At 49.9% G+C, this 21,216-nt stretch overlaps 1 long non-coding RNA gene across 1 annotated transcript, besides 3 other annotated features; it reads right to left on the bottom strand.

Annotated features, from left to right (window-relative positions):
- Positions 1-8,344: 8,344 nt before the first annotated feature.
- Positions 8,345-11,937, bottom strand: WSPAR (Wnt signaling pathway activating non-coding RNA). Its single transcript, NR_131252.1, has 3 exons — positions 11,618-11,937; positions 10,692-10,839; positions 8,345-8,559 (listed from the first exon to the last, which is right to left on the bottom strand). It is a non-coding gene; the product is annotated as a Wnt signaling pathway activating non-coding RNA (long non-coding RNA).
- Positions 17,834-18,334: an enhancer, noted in NCBI's record as "H3K4me1 hESC enhancer chr5:133242971-133243471 (GRCh37/hg19 assembly coordinates)". NCBI's record gives its function as "activates a minimal SCP1, AML or CMV promoter by ChIP-STARR-seq in naive H9 embryonic stem cells {active_cell/tissue: H9 hESC(naive)}" and the evidence as "EXISTENCE:reporter gene assay evidence [ECO:0000049][PMID:30033119]".
- Positions 18,335-18,835: an enhancer, noted in NCBI's record as "H3K4me1 hESC enhancer chr5:133242470-133242970 (GRCh37/hg19 assembly coordinates)". NCBI's record gives its function as "activates a minimal SCP1, AML or CMV promoter by ChIP-STARR-seq in naive H9 embryonic stem cells {active_cell/tissue: H9 hESC(naive)}" and the evidence as "EXISTENCE:reporter gene assay evidence [ECO:0000049][PMID:30033119]".
- Positions 19,949-20,450: an enhancer, noted in NCBI's record as "H3K4me1 hESC enhancer chr5:133240855-133241356 (GRCh37/hg19 assembly coordinates)". NCBI's record gives its function as "activates a minimal SCP1, AML or CMV promoter by ChIP-STARR-seq in naive H9 embryonic stem cells {active_cell/tissue: H9 hESC(naive)}" and the evidence as "EXISTENCE:reporter gene assay evidence [ECO:0000049][PMID:30033119]".

The raw sequence follows: 21,216 nt of genomic DNA, 5'->3' as shown, positions 1-21,216 counted from the left end.
ACTTTACATGTTGGTGGAGGAAGAAAGACAATAAAAATCAAATATCCACTGCATTAGAAAGTTGGAATGGTTGGGAGGACAATACAGTGAGGAGGGGACAGGGTGTACGTGGGCGGAATGGAAGTGGGGAGAACTGAGGAGGTGGCACCTGAGGAAGTACTTGAAGGAGGGGAGAGAGGAACTCGGCAGAGGGAATGGAGAGGGCAGAGTCCCTGAGGCAGAAGCACTGGTGGGTGGGTTTGAAGAGCAGCAAGAAGCTGCTGTGACTAGAGCAGAGAGGAGAGGATTTGGAGGTGGGGGCTGAGGTAGGGCCTTTGGCTGGTGCTCAGAGGGTGATGGGAGGCCATTGAGGGGTATGGGGCAGAGAAATGCCACCGTCTCACCCACATTTTGACAAGAGCACTCTGTGTTGTGATGAACAGCCTGCGGGGAGGGGGCCCTGTTGGAGGCTGGTACAGCAGAATCCAGGTGAGAAACGGTAAAGGGGGCAGAAGGAGTCCGACACGGTATGTATTTTGAAATGTTTGCTGACCACTTGAATATGGAGTGAGAGAGAGGGAGGCAGTGAGGAGGCTTTCAGCATCAGCAAATGGGAGGATGCATTTCCACTGATCGAGAGGCAGATGAATGTACGAAGAACAGCCTTGCAGCTAAAGACAGGATTTCCCCCTTGGAAACGTGAGGTTTGTCATGTCCCTTAGAAATGCAAGCGAGGCTGTCAAGTGAGCCTCCAGCTCAGGGTGGGTTGGGGCTGGTGATACAAAATTGGGGAGCACATGAAGGACATTTGAAGTCAGGAAGCTGCAGTGTTGCAAGCTGATGATTGCTGGTGAAACGCAGAGGAAGCCTGAAGCTTGCATCCTCAGACATCCAGTGATAAGCAGTGGCACAGGCCAGGTGGAATCCACAAAGATTCTGGAAAGAAGCCGCCAGGGAGGTGGGAGGAAAGCCAGGAGGGTTTTCATGCTGGCGGCTGAACCTCCTGGCTTCTTCTCACCCCTGGCCACTGTGTTGCCCATGGTGCAGGCACAGGACCCATGTTGGTCTGATCAGAGCACAGCCAGGGTACTTAGAGTCACAGAGCACAGGAAGCAAGCTCTCTTCTGTCTTACCGTGCTTAGCTGGGGAGAGGAATGAGTCTGGAGCTGTTGGTAGCCATTTTCCCAGTCCAAGTAAGCAGCTGGCACCAGATCAGAATTGCCAGATGCAAGACACAGAGGGAGGCAGAGTCCCAGGCCATTTCAGCTCCACATTCAACCATGCCCCAAGTCCCTGTCTTTTAGTTTCATCAGCCAATAATTTCCTAGTTTTGCTCAAATCAGCTTGAGCTGGGTGTCTGTCATTTGCAACTCAAACAGTTCTGACCAAAGCATCAATGTACCCACATCCACACGGGGAGAACCTCCCCCACCATCATTTTGAGGCTGTGCCCTCCAGCTGAACACCTGTTCTCTGTGGCACTGACTCCTCTTTCCATAGGGACATCATACAACAGTCGCCTTTATCTGAGGTTGTGCAAAGAGGGATGGAGGAGAAAACAATGGAGAATCCCTGGTGAGGATTTTTTTTGTTTTAAAAGAAACATTTTAGATAAATGTATCAGAGTTTAATTGAGCAAATAATAATTTGTGATTCAGGCAGCGTCTGGCACTAGAGTAGGCTTAGAGAGACTTTGGCGCTGTCCTGTAGTTGGAGAGAATTTACAGACAGAAAAAGGAAAGTGAGGTAAAGAAAACAGAGGTGACTGGAAAAGGGAGGTACAGAAACAGCTGGATTGGTTACAGCTCTGCATGTGCCTTATTTGTTATTTGTGTTTTTTGTTGTTGTTTTTTTTTTTTTTTTCAGATGGAGTTTCCCTCTGTTGCCCAAGCTGGAGTGCAGTGGCGCGATCTCGGCTCACTGCAACCTCCACTTTCCAGGTTCAAGTGATTCTCCTCAGCCTCCCAAGTAGCTGGGATTACAGGCACCTGTCAACATGCCCGGCTACTTTTTGTATTTTTAGTAGAGATGGTGTTTCACCATGTTGCCCAGGCTGGTCTTGAACTCCTGATCTCAGGTGATCTGACCACCTGGGCGTCCCAAAGTGCTGGGATTACAGGCATGAGCCACCACACCTGGCCCTGCATGTGCCTTATTTGAACATGGTTTGCCAATTGGCCATTTGTGAGTGGTTGACATGTGGCTGTTGTGATTGGCTCACACCTGGCTACTTGTTATAAGATAGGCTATAGTCTGTTTATATATTTAGTTAGAGAATAGTTTACTATGTATGGAGAAATCTTTAGACCAAACTTAAAATATGTTAGGAGGCAACTTTAGGCTAAACTTAATTTAACATTTTGTTTTTTTTTGATGGTTTGTTATTTTCCTTATTTATTTAAAAGAGTGGGGGCCAGGGGTGGTGGTTCACGCCTGTAATCTCAGCACTTTGGGAGGCTAAGGTGGGTGGATCACTTAAGCCCAGGAGTTCAAGACCAGCCTGGGGAACATAGTGAAACCCTGTCTCTACAAAAAATACAAAAATTAGCCCAGCGTGGTAGTGTGCGCCTGTAGTCCCAGATACTCAGGAGGCTGAGGTGGGAGGATCACTTGAGCCTGGGAGGTAGAGGTTGCAGTGAGCTGAGATCGTGCCACTGTACTCCAGCCTGGGTGACAGAGCAAGACCCTGTCTCAAAAAATAAGTAAATAAATAAAAAGGTGGGGGGTGGAAATGACAGGACCATGCCTGTACCTTCCACCCCAAGAGCTGTGATGGGGATGAACTGAAGGGGCTGAGGCTCTCCTGAAAGGTGGGCTGGAGGGCAGATATTAGAATGAGCTCCTGAACTCAGGAATAGGCAGCATGATGGGTTCAAGAGAAACAGAAATCTTCAAGAGGGAAGACATTGATCTGAGGGGCTTGCGGGGAGAATGGAGTGTTGAGGTTTTTTTGGCTGAAGCAACTGGGTGGACAGTGGTAAAGCCAGAGTCAGAAAAGGAGGTGGGAGAGGTCAGCGCCTGGGAAGGGGAAAATCCAGACCTGAGCTCCCGAGGCCTCTCCCCATATTATTAATCTCCTGCTGTATATACATGTTTGCTTTTGAAGGACATTTTCCCTCCATGCTTTGAAGCCACTTAATTCATTAGTTCTTTATCATTTATGTCCTATTTCATTATGTTATAATCTTTACAGTTGTTAATTTGCATTTCATTTCCTGCAGTGACAAAAAAATTCTACCCATGAAAAATGTTATTGTTGTAAATATTAATACAAGTCACAAATGATCACCATCCAGACCCATTTATCATAGCAGCGGCTCCCTTTGTCTGAGGCTGGGTGGATTCAGGATAATTATTAAAAGCTAGAGCTCTGTATGCCCCCAGGGCTGAAAGAAGCAGAGCTGGTCACAAGCCCTGAGACAATGTTAAAAGAGGCAGAAAAAACAGTACCTGACTACAGCCGACTACCTGCATTTGTACCTCCTGTGTCACTCTTGACACAGACCTCACACTGCCTGCACCTGAGCTTTTCAGAGGCCAAAGAAGGACAGATGGCTGCTTTCATGCCCAGCAGGGGAGAGTCTGTGACCGGGAGGATGGAGCAGGGAAGGAGCCGAGGTGAGGTCTTCCCTGGAGGAGAGCCAGGAGAAGACGTGCTGCGGGCCCTAGAGGGAAGGGGGCATGGTCAGTGGCTGGGCAGTGGGGGTTACACATATCCCAGCCCCACGTGCCTCAGTTGCTTCCCTCCCGGCTCAGAACAGGACACTTGCCCCTGGGCCTTCTTAAGGAAAATTGCACTGCAAAGAGTCATTTCGCTGCCCTGCAGATCAGAGATGATGAATACTCCTAGTCCCTGAATGAGCTGCCCCAGTATCTAGGCCTGGTGGGAAATGCCCCTTACTCTTTTTCTTTCTTTCTTTTTTTTTTTTGAGACGGAATTTCGTTCTTGTTGCCCAGGCTGGAGTGCAGTGGTGCGATCTCGGCTCACTGCAGCCTCTGCCTCCTGTGTTCAAGTGATTCTCCTGCCTCAGCCTCCCGAGTAGCTGGGATTACAGGCATGCGCCACCAGGCCCGGCTAATTTTTTTGTGTTTTTTTTAGTAGAGATGGGGTTTCTGCATGTTGGTCAGGCTGGTCTCAAACTCCTGACCTCAGGTGATCCACCCACCTTGGCCTCCCAAAGTGCTAGGATTACGGGCATGAGTCCCCTCGCCCAGCCCCGTTACTCTTTAAAGAAATGCTGCAGCCCTGCAAGAAGCACTAGGAGCAAACCAGGTGGTGGCCAAGTCAGAGCTCTGCCAGCCGGGGCCCAGTGCTGTGGTGTAGGGCTTGAGGCTGTGAGTGTTGTCCCTGCCGGGGTCCTGTGGCCTTGGCTCTGTTCCAGAATATATCTGAGTCCCAGCTCTGATCCATGACTAGTCCCCCATCCCACACCTAACCTGTCCTGCCTGGATCCCAGCTCCAGACCGGGCTCCAACTCTGACACCCACACACTTACCCTTACCCTGGCGTGGTGACCACCACATCCCTTCACTCTAAAGTCACATTTTCCTCTTCATAAATGTTAAGTCATCTGTGGGTGGTGCACTGAGATCCTGTTCCCCAGCATCCTTTCTCCCAGTAGGCTTAGCATCTATTCATGATTCCTAATGGACTCAGTTTTCTAATTTGATCATTTCTTCTACATTTATTGGTTGCTGTTCTCTGATAAAAAAGAGATTTTTCTTTTTTTCTCCTTTCTTCCTTCCCTGGTCTCCTTTTGTGGAGTATTGCTGTGGTTTCAGAGATTTATTTTTTTCATTAAATATGTTAGACTCTCCATGCTTATCATTATTCTTTTTGATGTGGCAGTTGTCCCAAGTTTGGCCCATGGGACCCCCTTTCTGTTGGCACATGTGTCTTTTAGACATGACTCCCTGGTCTTTGATTTTTCCCTTGCTTTCTGACCTGGGATACTCCAGGTACACCTGTACTTCACTTGCTGTACAACCAGACTCAGCTGTTTTTCCAAGAAGCCCTACTTCTTTTTTCTTTTGTCTCTGCAAAGGCTGGGCATAGAGCACGTACCTACCTAGTTCTTATAGAATGGGTTTTTTGGAGACATCTTCTGCACCATATTGTTCACTGTTTGAAGGTAGTGTCTCTGGTGATGGTGGTCATGACAAATAGAGATGACCTTTGGGCAGTCACAAATCATCAACCTGAATGGTTGAACCAAGCATGGAGTAGGTACCAGCAAAGCACAGGCTTTGTGGTGGCGGAACGAGGTCCCCTCAGAAGACATGTCCATCTTCTGGAACCTATGAATGTAATTACAGTCAGGATCTTGATAAGAGCCTCCTGGGCTACCCAGGTGAGCCCTACAGCCAATGACAATTATCCTTATAAGAAACAGAAGGGGAGAAGATGCAGACACTGAGGAGAAGGGCAGATGAAGACGGAGGCAGAGATTTGTGGGATGCAGCCACAAGCCAAGGAACTCCTGAGCTGCCAGGAGCTAGAAGAGACGAGGAACGTTCGCCTGTAGAGCCTTCAGAGGGGGCACGTCCTGGCGACACCTTGATTTTGGACTTCTGGCCTCCAGAACAGTGAGAGCTAAATTTCTGTTGTTTCAAGCCATCTAGCTCGTAGTAGTTCCCCCTTATTTGCAGGGACTTATTTGCATGTCCCCCCTTATTTGCATGTTCCATGACCCCTAGTGGAGGCCTGAAACCATGCATAGTACCAAATCCTATATCCACTGCCTTTTCCTATGCAGTAAAAGGTGAGTAATGTACACTGCCCTGCTCTGTCCCACCTGGGACAAAGGGATAATTCACATCCCAGGTGGGATGGAGCAGGACGGTGTAAGATTTCGTCATGCTGCTCAGAATGGTGCGCAACTGAAAACTTATGAATTTTTTGTTTCTGGAATTTTCCATTTAACATTTTCAGGCTGTGGTTGACCGTGGGTAACTGACACCTTGGAAAGTGAAACTGTGAATGAGGGGGAGCTACTGCGCTTTGCTATGGCAGGCCCGGAAAACCTACACAGGCTCCAAGAAAAAAATTGACTGAAAAAGCATCAAAGCCATTGCCATGGGGGAAATCAGAATGGTGTTGACTGCTGACACAACTGGTTTGCTGTTGTTTTTATTTGAAATTACCATTGGATCCTCTAAGGTCTTCATCCAGTGCAGCCCTGTGTCCTGCTGGCTGGTGCTGTAGTGCGGTGGTGTTAACCAGGGTCAGAGAATAGTTGGCACAGCCCCCAGATTTGGGGTGGCCTGCTTGGAGCCCTGCACCCAGGAGTCTGTGAGACTGCTTTCCACAAGAGGTTGCTGCTCCAGCCTGACAGCCCCCCTGCCCCAGGTGGAAGGGCACCCTGTGCTTGACTGTGTCCGCTATTCCCTGGTCTGCACACCCTGGGCCACATAACTGGAGGGGCCTGGGGACAACTCTAAGGCAATGCCGAGGAGCTGGTGTGGAGCGGGGGCCATCACAGCTACACACGCCCCTGCCAGTTCTGAAACTGCCTGGCTGTGGGCAGCCCCCCATAGGGCAGGGCTGTAGGCCGAACTGCAAGGCCAGGGAGATGCCTGTGGTGGCTGGAAAGGCCAGGAGAGTCTGAATGCTGAGTATGACGCTGAGCGGCCCAGAGAGTACCACCTGATTTGGTGAGGGCGTCTGCTGGAGGGCGTGATTGGTGAGCCCTGAGGGGATGAGAATGCGGCCTTGAGGCAAACCCACCCTGGTGGCTGCCCGGGTCTGACCGAGGGGAGAGATGCTCAGAGGAGCCAGGGGGAATCCCCTGTGGAGATGGGTCTGGCTCCAGGCTTGGCTGAGTATTTTTGCTCGCTTAGTGATTTAGCACTTTTGGGAAGGTGAGTCCACAGAGATGAGCCAGGACAGGGGACCTAAGTCCGGCCTTGCGGCCTGGGCCACAGGGATGCCGGGAATCTAGAGGAGAGCTTTCCACAGAAGCCCCCAACCTCCATCCCTGAGGCGCGCAGGACCCTGACCTTCAGACCGGAGGAGGGCAGGGGGCATGACCTTGGGCCCCAAACCTGGCTGAGGCCTCCAGCTCTGGAAAAATGAAACTGCTATGACCCTCCTTATCTCCACTCACTGCCAAACAGAGCCATAAATTCCGATTAGGGAAAGATGCTGGTTGGCAATGACATACAAAAAATTCGTGATTAGTGAACTGTAAAAGCTAACATGACATGCTCATAATTGGGATGTATTTACTGCGCGAAAAACGCCACGCTGCCATTTGGGCAAAGTGACTTTGAGGGAACTTTCTCAAGGAGACTGACACAACTTCCCTCTTTTGCTTACCAAACAGCAATAACCATTATTGATGGTGTTTTTCAAATGGCAGCTACAGAGAGAGAGGGGCTGTGATTTCTTGTCAGAACTGCTTTATGGGGTTGTATTTTCCAGGTGTTTAAGGAACCCTGTTCATTTGCGGCATTATCCTGGGTGATTTATGGACCTTCAAAGAGCTTACTTCATTTCAATGTTTTAGGCGTTTCGCTTCTTTACAACAAACCTTATTCCAATACAATCAATGGAGGTTTCTCCTTCTGGCCGGGGAGGGAGTGCCGTGTGGCTTTATAGCAAAATCAATATGAGGATAAATGGACAACAAAGAAGGTCCACTGTCAGAGTGGAAAGAGGCGTGTAAGTCCCTGGCCCAGCAGCAAAGCCATCAGCAGGGGCTTGTCCAGAGCCTGGCTTTACAGAATGTGGCTGCCAGGCGCGCTCCTCATTGACCAGCCCAGAAGGACTGGGAGCAACAAAGTCAGACAGTTGAGGAGAGGGCTCAGTCATGCTTTTCTTAAACATAGTAATAAGTTTGTTTATAAGCGACCCCCCTGCAAGTCTCATTAATGTTTGATGCCGTTCAAATGTGTATTTTCTAATTAAGGTAAAAAAATGATTCTCAAATACATCAAAGTTCCAACATTTGCTTTCTGGGGGATGAGAAAGCAGATGAGTAGCTCACAGCTGGGCCTAAATGTCTCCTAAAGGAGACCTGGCAGCAGCAGAGTCCCTGGAGGAACCCCAGGTTTTCTTGCTCACCCTTTTCCCCCAGTCAATGTCAGGGAAGTCCTCGTATTTTCTCTGGAGACATGGAGGGGAACCATAGCGTGTTGCTGCTTTCAGAGGGTCTTGGAGGTGGGGGAGAGTGTGGGACAGAAAGATGGGGTTCACCATGAGGTAATTGAGGTAATTTAAGACAAATGCAAGCTGCTTTTACTGGAGAAGGAAAACCTTTATGCCTCTTGAGGTCCCTTGGTGGAACATAGCAAATATTGAATTAATGAGCAAACAAAAGAAGGTCAGGCTGGAAACGAAATCAAGCTCCAAGCAGAGTAGATACACATGTAGGGGGTACCTTCCTCCCCTGGGCAGCCTCATTGTGCAGGCAGACGCTCACTGTCCCACCAGCTGGCCTTACATTCATTCTCTTGTGTGTTCATTCAGTGAGCACCTAGGTGGGCCAGGGCCTGCTGAGGACTCTGGGAACACAGTGGCGCACAGGACAGGCAGGCTGCTGCCGTTAGGATGCGCACAGTCTAGAGCAGGAGGAGATTCTAAAGAAGTAGGCATGGAAATAAATATAAAATTACCGGTGATATGTCATGAAGGAAAAGGACCAGGTCCCTTCCCTGGTCCTCAAAACACCCCTGCTACCTTCTGACCAGGGAGATCACTGTTGTTCCTAGTGCTTGATGTATTCACCCCCATCCCCAGGCCTTTATTTAAGCTAGTTCCCTTATAATCTAGTAACCCTCCACCCCCTAATACTCTTTCTAAGGAAGGCCACAGAACACTCAGGGCTGCCACTTTCCCCTTCTGTGTCCCATCTTCCCAGACAGCTCGAGTGGGCAGGGAACTTTTAAGGTTTGGCTCTATGTTAGTTCCCATGCTGAGCACTAAGGACTTAGTGGTTAACACAGAGATACAGTTCCTCTATTCAAAAAAATATACACTCTCATCTTTGCTCTAGGCACTGTTCAGTGTTTACCCCCCTGCTTTGGGCTGTCTCTGTTGATTTTATGCATTAGAGTCCCAGCAAGTCTGCAGGTTCCCAGAAGTTCCTTGGTCTCCCCTGCAGCACATCTGAGCATAGGGCCAGACACAGAGTTGGGGGTCCTACTAGACTTGCTTCTACCTGCCCTAGTGGACAAATTACCTTGCTCTAAACTGCAGTGACTCTGTCACTAGTCTGTAAACTTCTAGAGGGCTTAAGTCATGTGTGGCAGAGATGGCTGACTCCCTACCAAAATCCATTCTCCTCTGGCCATGGCAAAGAGTTGTAGATGGAAAGTCTATCCAGGAACTGCATTTTCCAGCCAGCCTCTATTCTTGCACCCTCATCCCTATGCATCTCAGCATGGGTGTGAGACCAGATTTTAACAATAGAATATGAACAAAGGTGATATACATGCTGCTTCCAGGCCAAGTTCTTTCCCTTTTATCAGCTGGCTGATGACCACAAGGTCCTAGGAGATGGCAGAGTCACAGGATGGAAAGATCCTGGGTCCCGGAATCACTGAGTGGAGAACAGCTGTCCACCCACCTGGGACCTTGGCTTTAAACTCGTTTATAAGCAAGAAATAAACCACCATTTATTAGTGTTTGAGTCTTTATACATATTGAGGTGTTTTTGTTATAGTAGTACAAATAGACCTTAACTAAAATGCCATTTCTCATTCCTCACCTGGCCTGGAATATAGGGAACACTAAACAAAACCATGACAAATGAATAAATGAATGCATGGTTAGTAGCTACTTCCTGGCTTACATTAATAGCCTCCAGAAGGAGGGACTACAGTCCTATGATATCAAGAGTAGAAAAGTGAGCAGAAGTAGCGTGACTAGTCTTGGATTAGATTTTAAATTTTGTGGTGGCTGGGGTGCGACAAGGGAGGATAGTTCTAGAAACAGATCCCAGGAGCTTGTTCTCCTGGATCTGGGCACCAGGGTGAGCCCCATGCTTCTGGCCCCTGCCGGGATACACTTTCTCTGAAAATGGCTCATCTCCCTCTGCCTGTTACTTGTGAGGGAATTGTAACTTAGCCAGAGCACGTCTCTGAAATCATCATGCTTTGCTGGTTTTGTTTTTAAACTTAATTACATATAAACATATATAGAAAAGCAGAGCAAATGATGTAGTGAGCACTCATATGCCTATCCCTAGATTAAGCTAATGTATATATCTTGCAGTATTTGCTTCATCTTTTTTTTCCTAAAGTATCTAAAAATAAATGACAGGTATTTTACCCCTATTTCAACATGCACTTCTAAAAAAATAAGATACTCCTGGCCAGGCGTATCCTGTAATCCCAGCATTTTGGAAGGTCGAGGCGAGTGGATTACTTGAGGTCAGGAGTTCAAGACCAGCCTGGCCAACATGGTGAAACCCCAGCTTTACTAAATATACAAAAATTAGTTGGGTGTGGTGGTGCATGCCTGTAATGTCAGCTACTTGGGAGGATGAGGCATGAGAATTGCTTGATCCCAGGAGGTGGAGGCTGCAGTGAGCTGAGATTGCACCACTGCACTCCGGCCTGGGCAACAAAGTGAGATTCCATCTCAAAAAAAAAAACAAAAAAAAACCAAACTCCTGTATAATCATAATGCCATGATTATACCTAACAAAGTTAACAGTTTCCTGACACCATCTAATACCTTGCCTGTGTTCAAATTTACCCAAACGTGCCTTATAGAAAAGGTTCTTCAGACTGGTGTCCATCAGGGACCAAGCTTTGCATTTGGTTGTTGCCCATGACCATCGGAGGAGCCCAGCAGTCAGGGTCAGTGACTCCTCTAGTCCTGTGGGGTGAAGATGTTTGGATGTGGCTGCAGGACTAAAAGGATAATTATTCATTACTGAGAACAAGCACAAGCACATAATCATAACATTCAGGAATCCATCCCTGGTAATTTATGGCCCCAGTAGTTGAGCACTTATGTCTCTAAGTGCTTTACATCATTTATTAGATACACCCGGGAGCCCCAGCAAGAGCAAGTCAGCATGACCAGGGTTACATGCGGCAGAGCAAGAGACACGGAGTGGCCCATGCAAGGTCACCAAGCTTGTCTGGGCCTGAGTGTGGGCAGTGGCCTCTATACCCAAGGCCTGGCCCCAAGAAGCCAAAGCCCAGCCTGAGAGGGGCTTGGGCACCACCAGGCCCTGGCCAAGCATTTCCAGGCCTAGGATTAGATTTGACCTCCTTCCCTGTAGGGGAAGAAGGATATCAGCTGAAGAAGCCTGGGGACAAATATAGTTTCTCATCAGGTCATGGGCAGGACACCAAAAATCCTAAGTCAGGTCACATTTTAAATGCACGAAGGAAGTTATGCTCAAAGTCCAGCTGAATCCTTCCCCAAGGTAAAAGATCCTTTTGTTATGTGAATAATTTATCTCTAAAGTATCAGATTTCTGTGAACTGGGTTTTCTGAAACTGAGCAAAAAAACACAGGAGTTAAAAGCATGGACCTTGGAATCGAACCCCCTGGATTCCAGACTCTGCCTTCCCACAGGTGACTCACGTGCTTAATCCTCAGTTTCCCCCTCTATAAAATGGGGATTATATAACTCTACCTTATAGAGAGATTATGAGGGCCATATAAGATAATGCTTACCTTAGTGGCTGGCATATAACCAACAATGTTGGCTAGCTGTTATCATTACCAATTGTTAATTTATTAACCAGACAACCGGCCAAAATTGTACAGGAGTTAGCTCAGGTCCAAGGACTCCTAGAGGTCACTCAGGCTATACTAAAACCTGGAAGAAGTCCTCCTGGCACGATGGCCACAAGCTTGGGTTCCTGGTGGGATGGGGATGTCAGAACAGGAGAGGGGAGCTTAGGCTTGGGAGGGTGTCTGGGGCTGGTCTAGGCATCATCCATCACCAAGAAGAATCCCAAACGTAGATCTTATCCAAAGTTCAGCCAGGATGGAGACTTTGTCATGCTATTTAATCTCCTTGTAGTGTTAGTTTCCTTGTCTGTCAGATGAGGATAGTAATGTCCACCTCCCAGCGTGGTGACGACAGAATGGAATTTAGTGTAGAAGTTCTTTGCCCAGGGATTGGCATTAAGTACTCTGAGGTAGCTGCTCTAGGTGCTGACCTGAATCTTAACTCTCCCTGAGGGGTTAAGAGATGGTGGCTGCCACCAGGAGCAGTGACGCTGTAGTGTCCTGACATCCTTCACCAGGTCCAGGGCCCGTCTGGCCATTCCCATCTCCACATTCCAGGTCAGGAGTGGCGAATTCTTGTTGGAGAGTCCTCCTGCTGGGGTGAGTGGACTCCTGGCTCCAGGCGCTCCCTGCTGCAGAGTTCCCTCTCTCTGGAGCAGTTCAGTATGTTCCTGCTTGGAATTCACAGCGGGCTGCCTCTGCTCCCCCACCGCATTATTTTTCGAAGCAATGATCCAATGAAGCAATTACTATTCCAATCGGGATGGAGATCTCTGCAACCCACAGCCAAGCATGGCCTCTGTGGCGTCTGTTACTCTCCTTATCTCTCCCCGGGCCTCCAAAGACCATCTCCATTTTCATGCCCATGGACGATTTATAACAGCTGCAACAGCAAGGCCAGGATCCCCTCTGAGCAGAAACTTTTCTTAAGAAAAGGGGTTCCGCATTACCCCACGCATCTTTGTGAAGAAGCCTTTGATTCCACCTGTCCTGTTTGGATTCTGAGTGTTTTTTCTTCTTTGGAAAGTAAACTTAATTACAATTACGTTTTGGCTGGGCCTGGTGGCTCACGCCTGTAATCCCAGCACTTTGGGAGGCCGAGGCAGGCAGATCACAAGGTCAGGAGATCGAGACCATCCTGGCTAACATGGTGAAACCCCGTCTCTACTAAAAATACAAAAAATTAGCCGGGCATGGTGGTGGGCACCTGTAGTCCCAGCTACTCGGGAGGCTGAGGCAGGAGAATGGTGTGAACCTGGGAGGCAGAGCTTACAGTGAGCCAAGTTTGCGCCACTGCATTCCAGCCTGGGCAACAGAGCAGGACTCCTTCTCAAAAAAAAATTTTTCATTTTTCATTTTTTGAGACAAGGTTTTTCTATGTTGCCCAGGCTGGAGTACAGTGGCACCACCATGGCTTACTGCACCCTCGACCTCCTGGGCTTAAGCGACCCTCCCACGTCAGCCACCTGAGTAGCTGGGATGACAGGCACATGCCACCATACTCGCTTAATTTTTAAAAACTTTTTGTGGAGACAAGGTTTCACTATGTTGCCCAGGCTGGTTTCGAACTCCTCGGCTCAAGAGATTCTCCCACCTGGACCTCCCAAAGTTCTAGGGTTACAGACATGAGCCACCATGCCTGGCCTTACATTTTTTTTGAGACGGAGTTTCACTCTTGTTGCCCAAGCTGGAGTGCAGTGGCGCAATCTCAGCTCACTGCAACCTCCGCCTCCCGGGTTCAAGCGATTCTCCTGCCTCAGCCTCCTGAGTAGCTGGGATTACAGGCGTGCACCACCATGCCTGGCTAATTTTTTGTATTTTTAGTAGGAACAGCATTTTACCATGTTAGCCAGGCTGGTCTCGAACTCCTGACCTCAGGTGACCTGTCTGCCTTGGCCTCCCAAAGTGCTGGGGTTACAGACATGAGCCACCGCACCTGGCCTACATTTTATTGATAAACAAATTATGGCTACAGAGTTTAATTGTGGAACAGCAGTTCTACAGTGCTTGATTGGACATTGTTGGTATATGAAATTACTGCTCCAAGGTACCCTCTAGCACAAATAATTCCAGAGTGGAAGGAAGTAAGATGGGGTAGCCCCCAGAGTTGCTTCATATCTGATTGATGGTGTACAGACCTGGCCATGCGGATCCACATTCCATCTTACATGGCAGAGGTGGATCCCCAGCCTGGAACTGTGAAGAACAGGGACAGGCAGCATCCCAACCATGGGGAGCATTTAACTCCAGCCATGGGATCTTTGCACTTTGAAACAAGCAGTGTGGGCAGGGCGATGCTTGACCCTCTCTATGAAACCTTCCACTCTCACTCCTTCATCCCCTAGAAGTGTCCCTCCAAGAAGCTTAGCTGGCTTGGGCTCTAACCGGCCCTCCTTGACCCCTACCTCCCCTGGAAGCCTTTTCTGGTTAAAACCACTGGGACGACTATGCCTGGTCCACTCTTCTGTCTGGCTGCTCAGTGAGTTCTAGTTCCCCAGTGTTGTATGCCCCTGTAGTCCATGGGCCTCGGCCATTTCTGTAATGAACGTGGACCAACCTAGGACATGGGTAGCAGAGTCCTTGCTCCCCCCTGCGCAGGTATGTGAGCAGATATTCTTGAGCTTCATAAGAGGTTGAAAATCTATGCATCTCGGGTTTCCCAGTTCCGAGGCATTGAGTGCACATGTTGGTGGTTCTTGATTCAAGAAATTGCACCCAGGGTGCCCTTTCACAGGGAGGACAATTGGAGTTCATGCCTGGCCCCTTCAGACTGTGGTGAGGCACTCTGGCAGTGATAAAATTCCTGACTGTAATGCTATTGCTGTCTTATATCCTCTTCTTGCAATAAACCGTAGACTTGTAAGCACTGTCATTTTGGTCCTGTGTGTCTTGTTTAGCCATTGAGCCCTGTCTAACTGCCACCGCAGGTCACTTTTGCTGGGGAAGGGGGGTCTTGGAGGGACCATTTCCTGACATGCTGCAGAACTTCTCCCAGCAGCCCCGCCTGAAGCCGTCTCAATTGCCTGCCGAGTAGGACACAGTGTACACCTGGGCTTACAGGCAACTCCCAAGCCCTCTGGTTAGGATACCCAACTTTTCCCAAAGGGCCCAGCTTCAGAGCTGTCAAGACAATGAGGTGTTTTTGAATACCAACGCCTGGCGTCCCTGCAGGAGGACTCGGAACTGCACTCTCCCAAATCAGAAGCAATGGCAGTGTGACTGTCATCACATTTGTTATTCTCTGCCTGCATTTACATAACATTTCTGCAAAGTGCTTTATAATCATTTCATTAGTCATTCATTTGCTTGATTGCATAGCCTTCAATTCAGTTAGAAAATCTGATTTGAAATTCAAGTCTCCACTACCACAAGTTTTAATTCAGAAAAACTTTCTCCCCCACAGAATTTGGAAACATTTCCAAATTTTGAGTGAGCCCCATCTCACCAACAATGACCGGTTCTGGAGTACAAAGTGAAAGACAAATTTAAAAGAGGCTGCAATGGTGGCCTGGTTCTAAGATCTAATTTAGAAAGGCAGAGAAACCCTGCCCAGCGGTTGAAACATGAAGAGTGCTAGAGAAAGCACTGAGGGTGGCAATTAGACAGGGTTCGATGGATAAAGAAGATGCACAGGACCCAAATGACAGTGCTTACACATTTATGGTTTATTGCAAGAAGAGGATATAAGACAGCAATAGCATTACAGTCAGGAATTGTATCACTGCCAGAATGCCTCATTGCAGTCTGAAGAGGCCGGGCGTGAACTCTGATTGTCCTCCCTGTGAAAGAGCATCCTGGCTGCAATTTCTTGAATCAAGAACCACTGACATGAGAACGGAATGCCCCAGAACCGGGAAACCCGAAATGCAGTCTTGGCCGGGGCTTCTGATATCCTGCTGGTCACATATGCCTATTTCTTGTCAGGGTACCACACCAATGGAAGTGCCCTTTGGGGGCCTCATTGAGACCAGGTGCAAGTCATCAATCTCGCTGTTATCAATAAACAATGCATCAAGCTGGTACAAACTGCCCTGCAGCTCCATGGCCGGAAAACAACACTGTTAATCCATAAGTTTCTCAACCTGACCAGGGCTCAGCACTGTGTAGGTACAGCCCTTATTTTAGTAAGACAGCCCAGATGAATTCCAGGCCTGCTAGAAGTAACCCTCACAGCTCAGTTCCGGGAGTGTGTCTAAGAATAGAACCCACCCACCCTGCCACTGTGAGCTTGGGGAGCCACTGGGCTCAGCCTGCAGGGGGACAGGGCTCCCCAAACCCGACCATTGCCCTAGCCCCTCAGTGTGGCCCCAGTTGTCCAGCTTCCCCTGTCTCCTATTCATTCACTATATCATCACCTAAGCAAACTCCTGAGCATGCAGCTTTGACCATGTCTTTACTCAGCTGTCACCCTCTCTGTGAGCCTTACTCGACACCACCTACTCCCCTTCCCTACTTTCTCTTTCCGATGGTAACTGACATGATCCGTGTTTTGTCCTCTTAGCTTTGCTCATTGTTGTCTGTCCCACTGGAGTGTAGTTGCCACGAAGCAGGGTTTTCATCTGTTTTGTTCACTGTGCATCAGTGCTAGGGTGGTGAGAGCTTGGCACGTACTGAGTGAATGTCTCCCCTCCAGCACTGGCTCCCCCTGGCTTCAGAATCCCAGCAGGGGCCCATCTCAAGGTGGGCCAGAACCACCTTCTTACCGCTTCTCCCATAGCTTCCTCTATCCCACCCAACATGAACCCATCCTTTGCCAGCAGCTGCTTCCTAGGCTCTTAATAAGCCTTAATTTCAACCTGTCCCCATTTCGTCCATGCTGTTTCCTGCCTGGAATTCTCCCTCATCCTTCTCCTTCCTGCAACCTCCTTCACTGCCCCAACCACACCCCTGGCTCCCATCTACTGTTCAAGGCCCAGTTGAAATAATGGCTTCTCCCAGACGCCTGCCCCACGCTGCTGCCTCCAGACCCAACCCTCCATCATGGCACCTCCCACATGGGCCCAGCTGAGCATGGGTCCAGCCACCCAGCTCTGCTCCTGTGTGGTGATGTCCTGTCTGTGACCACCTGCCTCCTGGACTGTGAGGCCTTGAAGGAGAGGCTCAGATAATTTCAATGACCACCATAACAGCCACCACCATCACGTACAGGACATTGGGTTAAGGCCTGGTGTGGATTATCTTTTTGATTTTTCAGAATCCCCGTGAGGCAGGTGTGTGGCTATCCTCACTTTACAGAGGAGGAAGCTGAGGCTCAGAAAGCCTAAGAAACTTAGCGTCACACAGCTAGTGAAGCCAAGAGTGGAACACAGGCCTTACTCGGAAAGCCTGTGTTCTTTTTTTTTTTTTTTTTTTTTTTGAGACTGAGTTTCACTCTTGTTGCCCAGCCTGGAGGGCAGTGGCATGATCTTGGCTCATTGCAACCTCCACCTCCTGGGTTCGAGCAATTCTCCTGCCTCAGCCTCCTGAGTAGTTGGGATTATAGGTGCCCACCACCACACCCGGCTAATTTTTTGTGTTTTTAGTAGAGACAGGGTTTCACCATGTTGGCCAGGCTGGTCTCGAACTCCTGACCTCAGATGATTGACCCGCCTCAGCCTCCCAAAGTGCTGGGATTACAGGTGTGAGCCACCGCACTCGGCCAAAGCCTGTGTTCTTAGCCACCCCTGCTCTGTGCCTCCTCCCCCCGGCTTGTTTGTGTTTGTCTATGCCATGATGTTAGGGGAATAGCACTTCCCACACCTCTGCTTTCCCGGTCGCTCCTGGCCTCTTGCCCCACTCTGGCTGTTCCTGGCTGACAGGTGTGGGACAGGAAGGGGCATGTACACCTGCCCATCTCTTTCCTCCTGGTCCTGGGAGCCGGGCTGCTTCTCGACAGTGTGTGCTCCTAACTGTTCTCAGTCCTATGGCGTGTCCTCACCTGACTCGATGGGACAGTCTCCTTCATTTTGAGGTAGAAGAGGAGAAAGCCATTTGCCCTTAGACACAAGTCATGGTCTCTAATTCAGGCTATTTAGAAATAAAGGTGACCTTTTGGTCCCCTACCTGCTTTAGTGTCTTATTCATCAACTGGTTTAGATTCCAGGTGGAGAAGGGGGCGCTAATTCCCAGGCCTCTGAATGTGGGCACCATGAAATATTTCCTGAGTTGAACCAAAATGGGAGAAGCAAGTGTGAGCCATGGGAAGGGAGGGCAGGGAGGGTCAGGCTCTTTGCACAAAATGGAGATGTTCTCCAGGTATAACGAAAGCCTAGGGACAAAGGAGCAGTTAGAATAACAATTCAGAGTAGTAACTCTTGGCCCTGGGTGACCCACGCTGGGGCTCAGTGAGAGCGGAGTTAAGGGAGATGGTGGTCCCTCTGGTGCAGCTCCCAGGGTGGCCTCTGAAGATGCCCTTGGTGCCTCTCTCGTTGGCCTGGCCTTCATCTGTTTAGCATGCTGCTAGGGGCCCCGTGGCCCATTTGCAGAGATTATGTGAGGCCGTGGCCTCTGGGGGAAGGTGGAAGGCCTCTGGGCTTTCCTCTGTGCCCTGTGAGCGCAGCCTGCACCTGCTCCAAGCTCAGGGCCTGCCATCTCGGTCTTCCAGATGCTTTCCCCTCAGCACAGTGGGCTTCTCGCCAGCTCTTGACTGTGAGGCAGTCTGGCGCTCCTGTGGCTGGTGCCCAACCTCCTGTGGCTGGGTCTTGCCTCCCACAGAGCAGGGTCTCTAGTCCATCTGCCTGGCTGGACCCCACTAGGCCCTTTCTGCAGGTTGGAGTCACATGGAGCCCTGCGCAGGCAGGCTCCCCACTGTGGACGTGGCTGCTCAGAGCTACGACTCAGGGGCTGGATAGTCATTTTGTCTGACAAGATTTAGCTCTCGAGCCCCAGGCCTGCGGGCTCGATCTCGGCAGTCTGCCCCTGTGGCTTGGAAGAGGGAAGAGTACAGAGGTCCAGGGGCTTCTACAGCCTCAGCCAGGGTCTTCTGGTCCCGCCCTCTTCTCCACTTCCTTCTAAGCATGTCAGCTAACATTTAGTAAGTGCTTGTTGTGTGCAAAGCACCTTCTGTGCAGCACCTCATTTAATCCTCACCAATATGCTTCCCCCTTTGTGGCTGAGGTCAGAGAGGCCAAGGCTGAAGTCCTACAGCTAGTGCTCACACTCTCCTTCACAGAAAAGCCATGAGCTGCTCCGAGCAAGGGGACACCTGCTTTAGACACATTTCAGGCTGATCACTGATTGCAGTGAGTCAACATCATCACCAAGACAGAAGCCACAGCAAGATCCCTTCCTCCAGGATAGAGATTCCCTCAGAGAAAAAGACCCTTCCTTATTTGACTTTTCAAACCATCTCCTCCTTTGTCATATCACTCAGTTCTCCCGGTAACGCTATCAGCAGCCCTCTGGGCTGGCTTGTTTTTTGATAGGTGAGGACTCTGAGCGTCCCTTAGTGGGTATGCTGCATGGTGAGCCAGATTTCTAGAGGGGCAGGTAGTCTCCACCAGGACCGCCCACCTCCCATTGCCATGAGATGTGCATGGGCCTGGGAGGCCCAACCTGGAGCCAAAGTGTCTCTACCCATGGGAAGGTTCTGGCCAGGACAGAGCCCACAAGGGCGTCTGTTCCTTTTCTGTGTGGCTGATGTCTGACCCTCGCCAGGTCCCTGATCCTCAACTATCACTCTGTGAAGGAAACGTGACTTAAAGTGCTGGGCCTGCAGCCAGCTGAGCTGGGAAAGGAGACCAGGAGCTACTGGTCACAGTCCCTTGCAGTGCCTGGGGTCTATCAGGGCAAATACTTGCTGCTGAGATGGAAAATCCTTGCCATCTTCGTAGCTGAGCTCAATAACACTATAAAGTATCTTTCCTTTTCACACCCAGTCTAGTAAGAGTGACCCTGGTCAGGCAGCTCTCCTCCAGGCAGTGATTTGGGGACCCAGGCCCCCTTCTGTGTCATGACCCCTCTGACTTTAGTGATCCCCCCATCACTAAGGGGTCATCTCCATTCCAGCCAGAGTGGAAAGCAGCAGGGTGAATCTCCCGTGGAAGGTTTGGATGGGCCAGGCTGGCAAGCCCATCACTTCTGCCCACATTCTGCTGGTCAGAGCCCAGGTACATGGCCACCTCTAGCCACAAGGGCAGCTGGGAAATGCCTTGCAACTGAGGGCCCAGGAGGAGAGCAAAACAAGTTCTGGTGCACATGGTCCACCGGCGTGTGAAATGAGGCCTTCTGGGCATTTGCGTTTCCTCCCTCCCCTGTGTCTGGTGCTGAGATCCCAGCAGGATGGGGCCCTGCTGTCCTTGTTCTTATCGCCCTTGCATTATGCAGTGCTCAGCCTCAGAACGCTGTTGTCTCTCAGGCTGCATGCTCCCTTTGCTGGAGGCCCCAGTGCCTCTGTAGGATCAGAAACCCTGAGTAGTGGACCCTGGGTTAGGGCTGGACTCCAGCTCTGACCGAGGCACCAGGTGACCATGGGCGAGGCCTCTTATCCTTTGTGGCCTCTAATACTTGATAAGCCCAGCTTGCTTCTCGAGCCAATGAAGGCCCCTAGAGATGATAAAGTCCTGAAGGGAAGAGGAGCAGGAGGAGGTAGACTCGGAGCTGAGAATGCCCCACAGAAAAGCCCTGAGGATGCCCAGGTACCCAGCAGGCATGAGTCATTAGGCGCTGCCCTACCTTGCATGGCCAGACCACCCACCTGGACCGATCACTCCACACCGTACGTGACGCCCAGGGGATCTTAACACATTAGTAGCGTTTGATCCAGCCCTGTTCCATTCCAGTTAAAAATAAGGCTCATAAATTGAGGCCATGCCCTAAGGGACAACAATGTTATAAGCTCATCACTTGATGATGATCAAACCTAGTTATAAAAATACACAGCACCTCTGCACCAGGGAGGAAGTGACCTACTTTATACCTCATGGGCTGATACTGAGTTGTCAGGGGTAAGGTCCAGGCCCTTATTCTGTTTTTAAATTCAAGACAGCTCACGGATTTTGGCTGGTTGCTCTTCCTAAAGTCTGAAGCCCCTACCAGTGTGTTTCTGGGATGAATGCTGCAGCCTTCTTGGCTCCTGGTCCACCTGGCAGGACTCTCTACAGGACAGGCTCACTGGGCACTTGAGCCGGAGACCTCTTGGCCTCCGTCTCCACCCCCACGTGGTCCGTTCCCTGGAGTGAGGCACGAGGCTTTCCCGGGTGTTTTTCTCTGTGCCTGGAACTGAGGGCCCCATAGGAGGTGGCCCGTTTGCCCTTGCTGTTTTTATTTTTGAGACAGTCTTGCTCTGTCACCCAGGCTGGAGTGCAGTGGTGCCATCTCCGCTCACTGCAACTTCTGCCTCCTGGGTTCAAACAGTTCTCCTGCCTCAACCTCCCAAGTAGCTGGGATTACAGGCATGTGCCACCACGCCCGGCTAATTTTGTATTTTTAGTAGAGGTGGGGTTTTACCATGTTGGCCAGGCTGGCCTGGAACTCCTGACCTCAAGTGATCTGCCCACCTCAGCCTCCTAAAGTGCTGAGATTACAGGCGTGAGCCAGCACACCCAGCTGCCCTTGTTCTT

The sequence above is a fragment of the Homo sapiens genome, chromosome 5 (assembly GCF_000001405.40).
Source record: "Homo sapiens chromosome 5, GRCh38.p14 Primary Assembly".
Taxonomy (NCBI): Eukaryota; Metazoa; Chordata; class Mammalia; order Primates; family Hominidae; genus Homo; species Homo sapiens.
Note: the sequence above shows the minus strand (reverse complement) of the source record. Positions and strands in the feature narration are given on the sequence as shown.